The 15,003-nt window shown below is 42.9% G+C and overlaps 2 pseudogenes, 1 gene segment (V, D, J or C) and 1 further gene, besides 4 other annotated features; all 4 read right to left on the bottom strand.

Annotated features, from left to right (window-relative positions):
* IGK (immunoglobulin kappa locus) overlaps positions 1 to 15,003 on the bottom strand; it is a 1,378,008-nt gene that overhangs the window by 337,357 nt on the left and 1,025,648 nt on the right.
* On the bottom strand, positions 2,224 to 2,698 carry IGKV1D-35 (immunoglobulin kappa variable 1D-35 (pseudogene); annotated as a pseudogene). Its single transcript is given in 2 exon segments — positions 2,224 to 2,519; positions 2,644 to 2,698. Coding segments are annotated over 2 exon segments (351 nt in total).
* Positions 2,509 to 2,519: a sequence feature (IGKV1D-35 leader sequence).
* Positions 2,644 to 2,698: a sequence feature (IGKV1D-35 leader sequence).
* On the bottom strand, positions 10,758 to 10,991 carry IGKV2D-36 (immunoglobulin kappa variable 2D-36 (pseudogene); annotated as a pseudogene). The gene is given in 1 exon segment: positions 10,758 to 10,991. A coding segment is annotated over 1 exon segment (234 nt).
* Positions 12,798 to 13,272, bottom strand: IGKV1D-37 (immunoglobulin kappa variable 1D-37 (non-functional)). The segment is given in 2 exon segments: positions 12,798 to 13,093; positions 13,218 to 13,272. Coding segments are annotated over 2 exon segments (351 nt in total).
* Positions 13,083 to 13,093: a sequence feature (IGKV1D-37 leader sequence).
* Positions 13,218 to 13,272: a sequence feature (IGKV1D-37 leader sequence).

The following is a 15,003-nucleotide window of genomic DNA, read 5'->3' as shown; positions in this document are numbered from 1 at the left end:
CCAAATGTGAAACTCTGTCTAAAAAAAAAAAAAAAAAAAAAAAAATCCTGAAGTTCCTCTGGGTTCCACATATTCTCTACTTCCTCTCTAAAATATGTAGAAGGAAACCTATACCTATGACTCCAGCCCACACCATAAGACCCTTTATTGACAGTTTATCTTACATCATAATGAGAACTAAATGGCCGCATGTTCATTGTTTCTTCCAATTTATTAATGATTTATCATGCTAACCCATTGGATCAAGAACTGTCAACCAGAAAACCCCGGACCTGAGTGAACAGAAAGAGAACTTTTCAATCTGCTCTGTAGGCATAATAAATAGTGATGGGCTCACCCCCCATGTCTCAGATACCACTATTCTCTTGATGGGAGTAACAATACCATACACCTTGGTGTTTTGGGGCCTCCGCCACATCTGGCAAGACAGTGATTTGACATTACAAGGGTTTGTGTGCTCACTTCACCTGCCTAGTAATGGGGTTTCTCCTGTCTGTAGGGATAGCTGCCTCTGTACACATGACAGCATCATGAACCTACTTTGCCTTACTTTTTTTTTGCTATAATAAAGTTACTTTTTCCAATGATAAATTATGTAAGGGTTTCTTGACTTGAAAGCACTTGAAAAACTTTCAAGTAATTATTCTAGCAGAAACATGGCTGATAAGAAAGGCAAATGTACATATAGGAAAATAACCACCCCCACCCCAATGTGTTGGGTTAGGTCCAATGTACTCACCTGATACCAGCTGTTAGTCTGATCTCAGATGTGTAGTACAATGTTAGGGTTTCAGGAAGGGTCATGGTTTTTGGCAAGTCAGATACTCAGATGTGCCATTAGCCTTGTGAGCCTCATTAAATGAAATTCAGATGCATAAATCTCCATGGCTTAAGTTCATGAGACTCCCTGGGAAAGGTGACTGACTGAAGTCCATGTGTTGGATCACCTTAATTATTAAGAGTTCCCTGCTAGGCAATGGCATTTAGATGAGTATTCACTTGGGTAGCATTTATTTTTGATCTTGGCCCATTTTGAAAGATCCAGTCACAGCTCTTCTAAACCAATTTTGTCCTTAAGTTTTGTTTCTTCTGAGACCTAATGACCTGTGCAAATTAATAATCAATGTCATTGCATTACCAGCCTCTCTTTGCAAAGTAGCCAATGATATACCCTTGTAGTTAACCCACTATTGTGATTTCTAGTCTTCCAGGGCATCCTTGATGATGGCAGGGGTGTGGCTTTGGTCCAGCACCCAATTTAGAACTCTGCCCAGCAGGCATCATTGTGAAATTTTAACATTTTGCCTAATTTTAACATTAGGCAAAATTACCTTTCTTCATATCCTTTACCCCTCCACTAAAAGATATTTTCAGGTGCACATACCCATTTGGTGAGTGTTAGAAATAAAGATTACAAAGGAAATCCCTGTAGCCAGAGCAGGTAACATATATAGTCCTGGACATCAGTTTTTTTCATGGGAGTAACTGGAATTATCTTAACAGATTTAATTTATACAATAATTTCATACGTATGCATGTGTTGCTTATATATATATATATATATAAACATATTTAAATAATCTTATCTACACATGAATATGTGTACATAGTATTTATAGCTAACAAGTTATCAAATAAATATATATGGATTAATATGTATGTTATATACACTCAAATATGTGCATTTTCCATAAATGACACAAATTTTACTGTTTTTATAGATATATGATGCAATATATTTGATACAGTGACAACATTTTTAAGTTTTATCTTAGTATCTTTAAAAACAGATCAATAAATATTTATATTTTTGCATCAGAGAACCCCATCTCTAGTATCTGCTTCATGAATAACATATGCCAGGTTTTCGAAGGCTATAGTTTAGATTCTAATTCACTCAGTTAAAACAATTCCTGCTTGGAATGTGTGGCTTCCATTTTACTGTAAGAATTTCAATTACCCCATAACACAGACTCCTCAGGTAGACTAATCTCCTTTCTTTACTAAATTCGAAGAGACATTGCCATGAGAGGAAAGAGACTTAGGGTGGAGAGACACCTTCATGGCCCCCTCTTCCGTAATCTCCCAATAACCCTCAAAACTCAGGCTGAGTCTGAGAAGTGTTGTCACCAGATGGCTGCACAAAGAAGAGCAGGTGGGGCAGCCCAGCGTCACATGTCTGCTTTCCTGGGGGGGGTTTGTTATGGTTTGTAACACTGTGATAGGGTAATTTTTATACTGTTGACAGTAATAAGTTGCAACATCTTTAGGCTGCAGGATTCTGATGGTGAGAGTAAAATCTGTCCCAGATCCACTGCCACCGAACCGCGAAGGAGCCCCAGATTGCAAACTGGATGCAGCATAGATCAGGCCCTTAGGGGCCTTCCCTGGTTTCTGCTGATACCAGTCTAAATTACTACCAATGCTCTGACTCGCCCGGCAAGTGATGGTGACGCTGTCTCCTTACAGATGCAGACAGTGTGGATGGAGACTGGGTGACTGGATGTCACTTCTGGTCCCTGAAATTGCAAACAGAAAAACAAATATCCACACAATTAATCATGTTATAAGAAGACTTCCCTGAATGGCCAGGCAGTACCTAGCACACTGGCTGAGTAAGAGGCTAGTAATTTCTTTTCTTAACTGGAAACCAGGATGGCAGAAGTCCCGGGAGCTGAATGAGGGTCTTCATGTCCATGCTGTGTCCAGACAAAAACTGACTCCTGCACGGGGTGTGACCAGCCAATTAATAAGTCTTCAGGAAGGGAGCTGTGCTCTGGGACATGCAAATCAGCAGAGGATGGGGAAGGCTGGGCACAGCTGCAAGGCTGGCTCATCTCAGTAACTCAGCACAGGGGCAGTGTCCCCAGGGTCCCAGATCAGAGCAGGGTAGCATCAACTTACCTGCAGATAATACATTTCTCTTTGGTGGCCATACTATTACAAAACGTATTTTTGGGACAATTTCCAAAATTTTAAACGAACCTAAGGACTACATTGAGTAATGCATTTTATAGTTGTATTGGCAGTATGTAGGAGACTATCCTTGTTTGCAGGGAATGCATAATAAAATCTTAGAAAGTAGAGCTCTTGGGTCTTCAAGTTACTGGCAAATGTATTTGGTGAGTGTAAAAATATTTTGTGTTGTGTTAACAATATTTCTGTCAGTGAGGAATTGTCTTTTTTAAAATGAAAATAAGACTTTATCAGAAGCATTTTTAACAATATTCAAAAATAGTTTGTCATAACTTTAAGCCATTGTTGTTACTGGTATAAGGACAAGGAATTGACTGCAGTTTCACAAAGATAATACCATGATTTCTCATGCATGTACCACGCACAGACCCTCCATTTTCCAGAGCTATCGGTCACTTTAATACCCAAGGATTAAATGGATAGCACCTTATTCTTGCCTTGGGGAGAATATTCTACCACCTTTTCTGTCACTGTGTAATATTTCTTACAGATCATCGCATAAAGGGCTGGCTAGTGATGCCAGATCTGATTAGTTCAACAAGATTCTCTGTTTCTTCATTGAACTATAGGAGCCTTGATTAGGATAAACTTGAAACCCTGTATCAATCCAGACTCTTATAATCAAATGTGTCCAAAGTAGGAAGACAAAGATCATATCCCCTGGGTAATGCTCCAAGCTGTGCTCCCTACCAGCATGTTCCTAGTGTCTCAGGTGCAGCTCCCCCGAAGCCTGGCTTTCTGAAGGGCAGGTGAAGGGGAGGACCTGGGGAAAGACAAAGTCAGTGAACTCTCTCTTCTGGTGAGGGTGGCTGCTGCTCGGTACATGCCCTTGCCTTGAACCATCAATGTCATTTGCTTCTTTTACTCTTTTGCAGTGAGTGGGGACATCACCCTGACCCAGATGTCAGCCTCACTGTCTCACAGCCAGGACACAGGGTCTCCATCCCTGGCCAAGTCATTGCTGATGTATACAGAGATATATCTGAAAATGGATAAAACTTGGAAACAAATTTGAACCTCTGTACCTCATACCTCTGCCTATGCTGAGGGCATCCCAACCTGATTCAGCAGCAGGGGAATTGGAACCAACTACATCAGCATCAGTGGGCTGGAGCCCGGGTACTCCAGGCAGTATTACTCATTCATGATCACGCATGGTCCCACCACAGTGGTGCAGTCTGTGCACAAACCTTCTGCTGCTTTTCCGGGGGCTTGGATTTCAAGAGAACTGGCCAGTAAACAGCCTACTAATATCCAGGTTCAAGACATAGGGCTCTAGATTGAAATACACATCTTTTTTTTCTGAATGTAGCCGTCTCTCTTGCTACCCTTGGCCTTTCCCCTTCACTGTACTTCTGCTGACTCCATGGTCATGCTGCTGTCTCTGAGCTGGGCAGACTCCATGGTCATGCTGCTGCTCTCTCTGAGATGGGCAGACTCCATGGTCATGCTGCTGCTCTCTCTGAGCTGGGGAAGGCAGCTCTGCCTGCATGCATGCCAGACCACAGTGTCTGGAATAGCATCCCCTAGGACAGCCCTCAATCGGTAAGGACAGGGGAGGTGTATACATACATGTGGCCATGTGGAAGGAACATATATAAGTTCTGACAGACCTGGGTTCCAATCTCAGTCCCTACTTCTGCTGACCATGTGACTTTGGGAAATCACCCCTGCACTCTGATGGGCAGTTTTCTTACCTGTAAAATGAAGTACTGTGGATATCAAGCAGTGTCTTGAGGGCTTCACCAGATCATGACCCATGAAGAGAGAAAGAGAGAGAGAGAGAGTACCCGGTGTCCATTTCATGCATCCTTGACTGTCTTAGAATGAAGACGTTATGTAAGATATTACTAGTCAGATGTCACTTTCAACTAAAAATTATCAATATTTATTCTAACTAATAGATCTCTCTCTCTCTATACAGTGAAGTTTCACGTAAATGTTTTCCCACCATATCCTCTCCCATCAATCTATTTATGTGTAGCAGTAGAAAGTTGAACAAGAAGACTGAAAACCACCAGAGCACGTTTCATCTGCACTTTCCCTGCACTTCATTCTTATTAGTGTCCTTGGGCTGCTGTAACACAGTTCCAAAAATCTGATGGCTTAAAACAGTTTACTCTCTCATACTTTTGTAGGCCAGAAATCTAGAATCAGTATCTCTGGGCCAAGATCATGGCCTTGGCGGCCAGGCTCCTTCAGAGGCTCCAGGAGGGAGTCTATTCTTGCCTCCCCCAGCTCCTAATGGCTGCATCTTTCCTTGACTGTGGCCATACCCCTCCAGTCTTTGTCTCTGTGGCCACATTGCCTTCTCTTCTGTCTGTGTTAAATCTCAATCTATCTCACTCTTAGGAGGATACTTGTGATTGCATTTAGGGTCCACTTGGTCAATCCAGGATAATCTCCCTGTTTCTAGATTCTTAATTTATACCTGCAAAGGTCTTTTTCCCATACCAGTTACATTAATTGGCTCCATGGAAAAGAACCTGATAATGTGGGGGTGATACTCAGTGCTAAACCATTACAGGACCCAGTTTCAGTGTCGGTACTGTACACACGTTACATTCTCTCTCTATGTCTTTCGCTCACTCTCTCCCCCTTCTTCCCTCCCTTTCTTATGATCACAAATCATTCCACTTCCCTAAGTGTATCCACTGCCACCTAGGTTCAGAGTTCAGAGAGGAACACACAGGAAGGTCTTGCTCGGGTTTGCATAGAGATCTGCCCAGTCCCCGCTATCATGTACAAGAAAAGACATAGCCACAGACAGCCCTCAGCCATCTGGGAAGAAGCTGTCTCTACAGAGGACAGTCATGAGCTATGACTCTCTCGACCTCTTATTGTCTTCAGAGGCTTTTGGCCCTCATGGAGGGTGTGGGTGGCCCCTGACTATAGGATTTGGTCTTCATGGAGGGTGTAGGTGGCCCCTGGCTACAGGATTCACCAGGACTTTCATCAGAATATCTGATTCACAGAAGGCAGTCAGTGATAGGGCCACACAGAGGGACTCTGCAGGGCCAGCTGCACAGAGCACTCTGGAACAGCCTGCCTCCTCATATTTCTTCCTGAACACACATATTTGGATCTCCTAATACTATTTTGCTAGTCCATTACTTGCTCTGAAGGTAATAGGTAGGATTAACTAAGACAGAATTTTTAATAGTTACAAATCAGAAGAAAAAAAGTAATTTTTTAAATTGCTAAGCTGATAAAGAAGAAGATAACATGACGGCAAAAAACAAAAACTCTAGACTGAGGGCTTTGGGTAAGAGCTTGAGACTCTCAGTAGTGGAGCACCTGGGCCATCGCCTTTCAGAAGAGAGGGACAATCAGGAAAGAAAGCGTGCAGTAGAGGCAAAAATCTTGCTTACTCAGACAAAGCCTCAGAAGAAAGGAGACACCTTCTTCCTGAGCACCAGCAATCAGAGAAATTCTCAATAAAAATAAATCATAATGAAAAATAAATAAATAATAATGAAAAAATCGAGAATAGTTATAAGCGCTGCATGCACTGCTCATTGCACCAAGTGCCTTGTAATGAACGAAGTGCAGACAATAATCATAGACCCCAAATGTGTCCCAAACCTGACCACTCCCCCGACTTCTACCCCACCACTTCACCCCAATGCAAACCTCCATTATCTTCCACCTGCAAGATAATCCCTCAAATATTACCCAACTTCTTCTTTGCTCCTTGTTCCTTGATAAGTGGTCCCCACTCTCAGGGTCCTAAGGCTGTGGCCACAGGTCTGAGTTCTAAGGTCTTTCTTCTCACACCCACAGCCTTTCTCACTCTGGCCTCCTCCATTTTGAGAATCCAGACCCAATGTCCTGCCACCCTCCCTGGAATCAGGCACTAATTGCCAGTAGCTTTTCTTTGTAAACCCTCCAAATGCAACCTCTAACAGGAACCTGGCTGGAGCAGTCAGCATCTTCCTGTTACGGGCAGTTAGACAGGCATGAGATGGGCAGGAGAGGTCTCTTTCCCCACCCACTAGGAATGTGGGGTGATGGTTCAGCAATGATCACATTGCCTCTCTAAAAGTGATAAGTTGGCAGCTGGCACTAGAGGGAGGCCATTTCCTGATGGTCCACACCTTTTGCACTAAGGTGTTAATTGAATGCAAGCACCAGGGAAATGCAACTTCCCAGGCATGTTAAAATAAATAATACAATAAATATAAATACAAAAATAAAAATAAAATGTTTATATTTATAAATAAATTTATATTTTGTATTCACATTTATACTTTATGTATATTTATATTTATATATTTGTATATTTATATGTATGTATTCATATTTATATTTATGTATAAATATAATTTATATATACATAAATTTATATTTATACATAAATATAAATACAAAACAGTGAAGTATGACCTTCCAGGGGCACACCACCAGAAAAGGGAAGGAAGCCTCAGATAGGCATGTGTACAACTTTCTGAACACACTGAGCATGCTCACCTCCCAAGGGTAAGAAGGGCACTGCGCATGCGGGCAGCCCACCCTAAGAGAAGAATCATGGGAAAGAGACCTGCCTATAAAGTACTAGAATCAAGGTTAAACACCGGACTTCTTCTTCAAGTCGCCCACTTTGGTCTCTTTCAAGTGTACTTTCCTTTCTCCCCTGTTCTAAAGCTTTTCAATAAACTTTCACTTCTGCTCTGAAATTTACCTTGGTCTCTTTTTCTCCCTTATGCCCCTCAGTCGCATTCTTTCTTCTGAGGAGGCAAGAATTGAGGTTGCCGCAGGCCAAGGATTGAGGTTGCTGCAGACTCATACGGATTTGCCACTAGCAACTAGAATATCTTTAACCAGTAACATTCCCAGCAAAAAGTGCTAAGAAGAAAGAGAAACCTGCAAACACACTTTGTTGTTAATGAAATGCATAAAATCCCCTGTTTCTATGTCTTCTCCAACTATTTTTGTTTCTTAACCACAATTATATATGTATGATCTTGGAGCAGGGAGGAATTAAGAACAGGCATTTATTTCATGCTTAGGATATAAAAAGAGGAATGGAGAGGGAAAGACAGCAGAATTTATAAGTTCTTCAAAGTGATTTGAGTTTTTCTAGCCATGGGCATAGAATGACCAAGATCTCAGGGGAGCACTGCACTTACAATTCCTGCCCTTCACGCCTCAGACTCCCATGAACACACACACACATAAAAATGCCTGTCTTCTCCTAAAGAGCAAATTTAAGGCTCTGTTTCTTCCCTTGAGTACCTTTTCTCATAAATGAAATAAAATAAATGAAAGTAACTTTAGAAGCAATGGAAAGAAACAATAGCAAAAGCTTAAGCAAAGATCAGAAGTCTGAAGGTTGGAGTATTAGGGTTGGTGCAGCAGCTTGGGGGCAGCATGAGGAAACCAGGTTCACCTTCCCCACATTGGATTTTCAGTCTTGGACTCAAGTCCTCATGATCTCCAGAGGACTGCAACAGCTCTAAGCTAAGGACATTAGTGTCATATCCACTAAAAACTCTTCCAGGAAAAAATGTGGGGCAAAATTCTTCACCTTCCTTCTATTTATGAGGAATCAAATTCTCCCCAGAAGCCCTGCCCACCTACTCCCCTACCATCTCATGGTGGAGGTGACCACACATGCTCTTAATCCTCACTCCAGCCCTAAATTGAGAGAGGTTCACTGTCCTCACCAGGCATGGCAGAAAGGAGCTGGTGCCCTCTACACCAAAGGAGAAGGGGGATGGCTGCTCAGAGAGTGTCAAGAGCTTGGCAACATTTAAACCTCACTATGCTTCTAAATTAAGTTGTGTGGGGAGGAGAGATCTCAAGAGCCTCTTGGTCTGGTGGAGTTGGAACAAGCCAGGCCCTGAGGATGACAGTGAAGTCAAATTTTTAATATTCTAGATGGCAATGTTAGCTTCAGCAGTTTTGGAAATGTGGCTTATGCAATTAAGATCAGGACAGACTTTCAGGTACTGGAATAAAAGAGAAGAGATTAGAAATAAAGTCCTCAAACCAGGGCTAAGGTCAGGCCTGCACTGACCGAGAGCTGCTGGGCTCTGGCCCTGGGCTGTGAAAGAAACAGCTGCTTTCTTGAACTATGAGGCTGAGGACCTGGGAGGAACCACAGGCCCTGTCCATGGGGCTGCCTGGCAAAGGATTCAAGAAAGAAAGCTGCTCACACACTCATGGGCGCGGCACCAAGCCCGAGCCTGGGGCCATGGTGAAAGCCTCAGAAACCAGGACCTTAGAGCTGGGCCTGGGCTCCTGGAGTAGGCTGCTCTCAGCTCTGTTCTCATTGTATATAAGCAGTCAGGACCTTCTTGGAAGCAAAGGGAGAGGGTGAGCAAATGTCCCCAGGGCTCTTGCTGAGCCAGATTCTGTTCTGATGACAAAGAAATAGAGCACATGCTCAACAAATAATATATGCATACATATTATGTAAACTTTATTAAATACATATAATATTTTGAATATTAATTATATATTGAGATAGATGTATACGCTATGTTTCTACATTTCACATTAAAATAATATGTACAATTGTATAGAAATTGATATACTTTTGTTGAAATTGTATCACCTGGCCCTGCAGGTGACAGAAAGATAAACAAACTATAACTTCATTATCAAGGAAATGTTCATGTTTAATACAAACTATCTGAAGCCGAAGTCTGAGTTCTTCTTCCTCATCAGAGAGTCAGAAAAGCAGGAGGAAGAGGGGCAAAGCTGGGCACCCATGTCCATGAGGGCCTCCTGAGGCTGATCCTGCTCAGAGAGGGTGGGGACAGTGGATGGGCCTTCTTGCACTGCTACACCAAAATACCCTGGGCTGGGTAGATTAAACCAGAGAAATTTATTCTCATAGTTCACAAGCCTGGAAAGTCCAAGATCAAGTTCCAGCAAGGTTCACTTTCTGGTTAGAACCTTCTTCCTAGTTTACAGGTAGTCACCTTCTCACCATGTCTTCTCATGGCCTTTCCATAGGGAAGCAGTGAGTTAGAGAAATAAAGGAAAAGAGAAGAGTTCTCTGGTTTCTGTCCTTATAAGGACACTAATCCTATTGGATCAGAGCCCCACCCTTATGACTTCATTTAACCGTAATTACCCCTTTATAACCCCAATTATCTCCTACATCCACATAGGGGAATAGGGCCAGGCTTCCAGTCTCAGAGCACAGATGGCTTTTTCCCACCATTCAGCACAGTGGCAGCTCCTCCCAGGTGCCCCAGGTAACATGTGGGACATTATTCTAGCCTTATGGGGTCCCTGTTAACAATGGGACACTATCACTCTTGCTTTTCTAGTATTTCTAAGATAATGGTACTCTCTTTTTTGTGGGGTTTGTTTGCAATCTAGAGGCAGGTTTGACATAGCAACTTACAGGATTTTTAAATTTTGTGATAGTAAAAATAAATAAATAAATAAATTTATCATAAATAATAAATTGACTTAATACATTGAATCTGTAAAAAAAAGATAAGGCCAATTGAAAAGCTTAAAAAGAGTCTGAGGGGTTTAAAAAGGCAAATTCCTTTCAATGAGAGTTAGAGAACGGATGACCGATTTTTTTTAATAGATGACGTTTCAGCAGTAATTATCAAATGGTAAACAACAACTTGAAAAAAGGTCTCACAAATATAATTTCATAGTCAAAAAACATTTCTGAGAATCATATAAATACATATTCAGATTAAAACAGACAGAAAAATGTGACCTTATCGGTAGATCTACTCAATGGAAAATTCCTCAAATATGTGCTTGAGGCAAAAGGAATATTTATCATTGATGGAAGTTCAAGTTTTCTAATAAACTCCAACATCCTTAGTCTCCGTCCTACTGACTTTCAGTGTAAACTCAGTACCTGACCCATTACCCCTGAACCTGTCTGAGAATTCGGAGGCCTGGTTGGAAACCTCATAAATCAGGAGCTGTGGAGACTGGCCTGGCTTCTGCAGGTACCAATACAAATAGGTGTTTCCATTATTATACAGGAGGCTCTAACTAGACCTGCAGGAGATAAAGGCTGGCTTTCCATTATGAACAACTTTCATGATTTCTTTTATGATATTGATTTATAGTTACATTTTTCAAGTTTTGATTCATGTCATGAAAGTAGACTTTCTAAAATAAACCCATTATTTACCAGCCAGAAGGGAACTCTTTTTTTTTTTCAAGATCTTAATCAGAGTACTGTTCATTGTTCCCTGGAGGTGAACCTTGATTATTCATAAGACAAAAATATGAATTCTTTTCCCTGGGCATAGACCATGTGACTCTATCATGTTGGAATAAATGATACTGCTCTGATGAGTAGAGGACACCAGGTTCTTTGTCTCGAGTCAAATGAGAAAAAATGACACTGACACACTTAGAATAGTTTTAAGGAGCAGGGAGTTTAATAGGCAAGAAAGAAGGGGGAAGAAAGAAGGATGAAGCTCCCCTGTACAAAGACAGAGGGAGGGGGGCTCCAAAGCCGAGGGACGAACCACTCTTTCAGGTAATATCAGCCAGCTATATTTGATGGCTGGAGGAGGCGGTGTCTGATTTGCACAGGGCTCAGGGTATTGGTTTGACCAGACATGTCATTCACGGTAGCCCTCGAAAGAACTGGCCCTCCCACCCTAGCCTTTTAATATGCAAATACAGGGCGCCATGATGTTCCACACACGTGGGGATATGTAGGGGCAACCATGCTGCCAGGCGCATGTTGGGGCAAGGGCAAGAGGACAACGGTGGAAATCACCATGTTGGGTGCATGTTGGATGGACCCAGTTTCTAACGGCTTGCATTTGCATATAAAAGGTTGCCTGCCCGGGGCTAAGACCCAGGGCTTTCATGCTAGACAACAGCTGTGAAAAGTCTCCCAAGGATCCCTTTTTTCCTCTCTATCTGCCTAAAATAATATCTTAATAACTCCTACCTCATAAACACGTGAAGCTGTGGAGCCCACAGACTCACCTCCCACCCAGTTCTCCTTGCCCTGGCACATACATCCAGCTTCTGTGAAGAATTGGATGTGGCTAGAGACTTGGGGTCCCACGGACAAGAGTTGAGATGCAACACGGCAAGCTTTGAATAGGGGGCTGGTCAATTGTAAGCAGATGCCATAGAAAATCAGGAAGGTCCTCCAGGCAGCGCATCAACAGCCCCGAACATGGGCTTCCCAGACATGTCTGAGGACCACATGATTGGCAATTATACCTTCTGCACCAGATGCTCTCTGGATTCTTGGGGAGATCCAGAGAATCGTTTTCTAATTATTTGCATCTTTGAGTACCATGCTCCCAAGCCTCCCAGAGGCTGTAGTTTAGACTCTCATTGCGTGTATTTAGAAAAAAAAAAATAGACTTGGAATTCCAAGAGTAGGTTTTCCTTTGTGGTATTGATTCCAACTCACACCATAGCCAAGACTCAGGTGTAATCGTCTCTTTTCTTAATGAAATCAGGAACAGTATTACCATGTTTGTGCTGCAGGGGATGAGAAGGAAAAACAGTTAAGGTATAGAGGAGTTGTAATCGCCCAAGGGGTTCACCTTGCCTGCTGCTTAGACAGAGTCGATTTATCAAGACACGGCAATAGCAGTAGTGAAAGAGTAATTCACACAGAGCTGGCTGTGTAATATCTTCCACCGTCATAATTTTCTCAGTTATGATTTTTGCAAAGGCAGTTTCAGAGTCTTCATGGCCCCTTCCATCAAAACTTTTCAGTGACTTTCAAAGCTTGACTGGAATATGAGAAACGCTCTGAGCAGCTGGAGGCAGTAGGAGGAGTATCTGGGGCAGGCCAGCCCCATACATCTGCTTCCTTGGGGGGTTTATGTTATGCCTTGTAACACTGTGGGAGGGGCATTGTAAGTCCGTTGACCGTAATAAGTTGCAACATCTTCAGGCTGCAGGCTGCTGATAGTGAGAGTGAAATCTGTCCCAGATCCACTGCCACTGAACCGAGATGGGACTCCAGATTGCAAATTGGATGCACTATAGATCAGGAGCTTAGGAACTTTCCCTGGTTTCTGCCGATACCAATTTAAATAACTGCTAATGCCCTGACTCACCCGGCAAGTGATGGTGACTCTGTCTCCTACAGATGCAGACAGGGAGGATGGAGACTGGGTCAACTGGATGTCACATCTGGCACCTGAGATTGGAAATATAAAAACAAACATCCATTCAATCCATCATGTTATAAGAAGACCTCCCTGAAGAGCCAGGCTATACTGAGCGCACCAGCTGAGTAAATTCCTAGTGTTCTCCTTCCTTACCTGGGACCCAGAGCAGTAGGAGCCCCAGGAGCTGAGCGGGGACCCTCATGTCCATGCTGTGTCCTGACTGGGACTGACTGCTGCACGGGGTGTGACCAGCCTGTTAAGAAGACTTCAGGGCAGGGGGCTGTGCTCTGGGAACATGCAAATCAGCAGGGGTTGGGGCAGGCTGGGCACAGCTGCGGGGCTGGCTCATCTCTGAGCCAGTCCCTCGTGTCCCCAGTGTCCCAAGTCAGAGGAGGGTAGCACAGATTTGTCTGTAAGAACATGTTTCCTCTTGGGGCCGTTTTGTAACAAAGAACTTTTTTTTTTAATAATTGTTAATATTTGAAATACTCTTGAGTACTCGATGAAGTAATGTTTTCTATTTGTATATGGGGATTAATTAAGGTTTTTTTTTTTTGAGACAGAGTCTCGTTCTGTCACCTAGGCTGGAGTGCAGTGGCACGATCTCACCTCACTGCAACCTCCACCTGCCAGGTACCATCGATTTCTCCTGCCTCAGCCTCCAGGGTAGGTGGGACTACAGGTGCGCACCACCATGCCAGGCTAATTTTGTATTTTTAGTAGTAGAAATGGGGTTTCACCATGTTGGCCAAGCTGGTCTCGAACTCCTAACCTCAGATGACCCCCTCGCCTCAGCCTCCCAAAGTGCTGGGATTACAGGCATGAGCCACCACGTCCAGCCAGGGGAATATTTTTATTTGTAGGAAACTCAGTAAAGTTTTAGAGGGTGGGAACATCAAGTCTTGAATATACTCTGCAAAGGAGAGGATACTTTGTTCCATACTTATAACATTTCTGTGAGAGTGAAATGGTTCCTTCTTAAAAAAAAGAGACAATTTTACAAGATAATGCTAAATATATTTGAAAGTATTTTGTAATGACCTTAAGCCATTCTTACATGACTGTATGGTCACGCAATTCACTACAGATGCATAAAAATGAAACCACAAGTCCTCAAGGCCGGTATCACTCACAGATTCACCATTATTTAAACCTGTAAGCCACCTTAATACCCAGAGATTATATAAGCTGCATCTTATTTTTGGTTTGGTGATCTCTATATTTTACCCTCTCTTCTGCCATTAAGTATTATTTCCCAGGGGTTCTCAGCATGAAGAGCTGACTAGTGATGCCAGATCTGATTGACTTAAATAACTAGTTTCTTCCTGCATTTATCAGAGTCTGGATTAGGATAAACTTGAAATTATCCAGGGTTCAGTTGTCTCCACAAGTAGGAAGACCAAGATTGCATCCCCTGAGTAATGCTGAACTCCCCACCAGCATGTTCCTGGGTGCTCAGGTACAGCTCCTCTGAATCCTGGATTTCTGGAGAGCAGGTGATGGAGAGACTTTGGAAAAGATCAGGACAGTAAGTCCTCCCTCCCAGTGAGGGCAGCTGCTGCTCAGTGCATGTCCCTGCCTTGCACGATGAATGCCACTTTCCTCTTTTACTTTTTAGCAGTGAGTGGGAACATCATTCTGATCCACATACCAGCCTCCTGTCTCACATCCAGAACAGAGTCTCCACCTCTTATCAAGCAAATTTCCATACATATGGAGAAATTAATTGGATCCTAATAAAACTGGTAATGGATTTGCACCCAATCATATCTCACATCTCTAACAGGGCCCAAGACATCTCAGCCTGCTTCAGCAGCAGCATTCAACTACATCAGCGTCTGTGGGCTGTAGCCTGGGTTCTGGAAAGTATTACTCATGCCTGACTAGGAGTGGTCAAATCACTGTGGTGTAAGCTCTGCACACACCCTCCTTCTGTCTA

This window comes from Homo sapiens, chromosome 2, assembly GCF_000001405.40.
Source record: "Homo sapiens chromosome 2, GRCh38.p14 Primary Assembly".
Lineage (NCBI taxonomy): Eukaryota > Metazoa > Chordata > Mammalia > Primates > Hominidae > Homo > Homo sapiens.
This window is presented reverse-complemented; position numbering and strand designations above follow the sequence as displayed.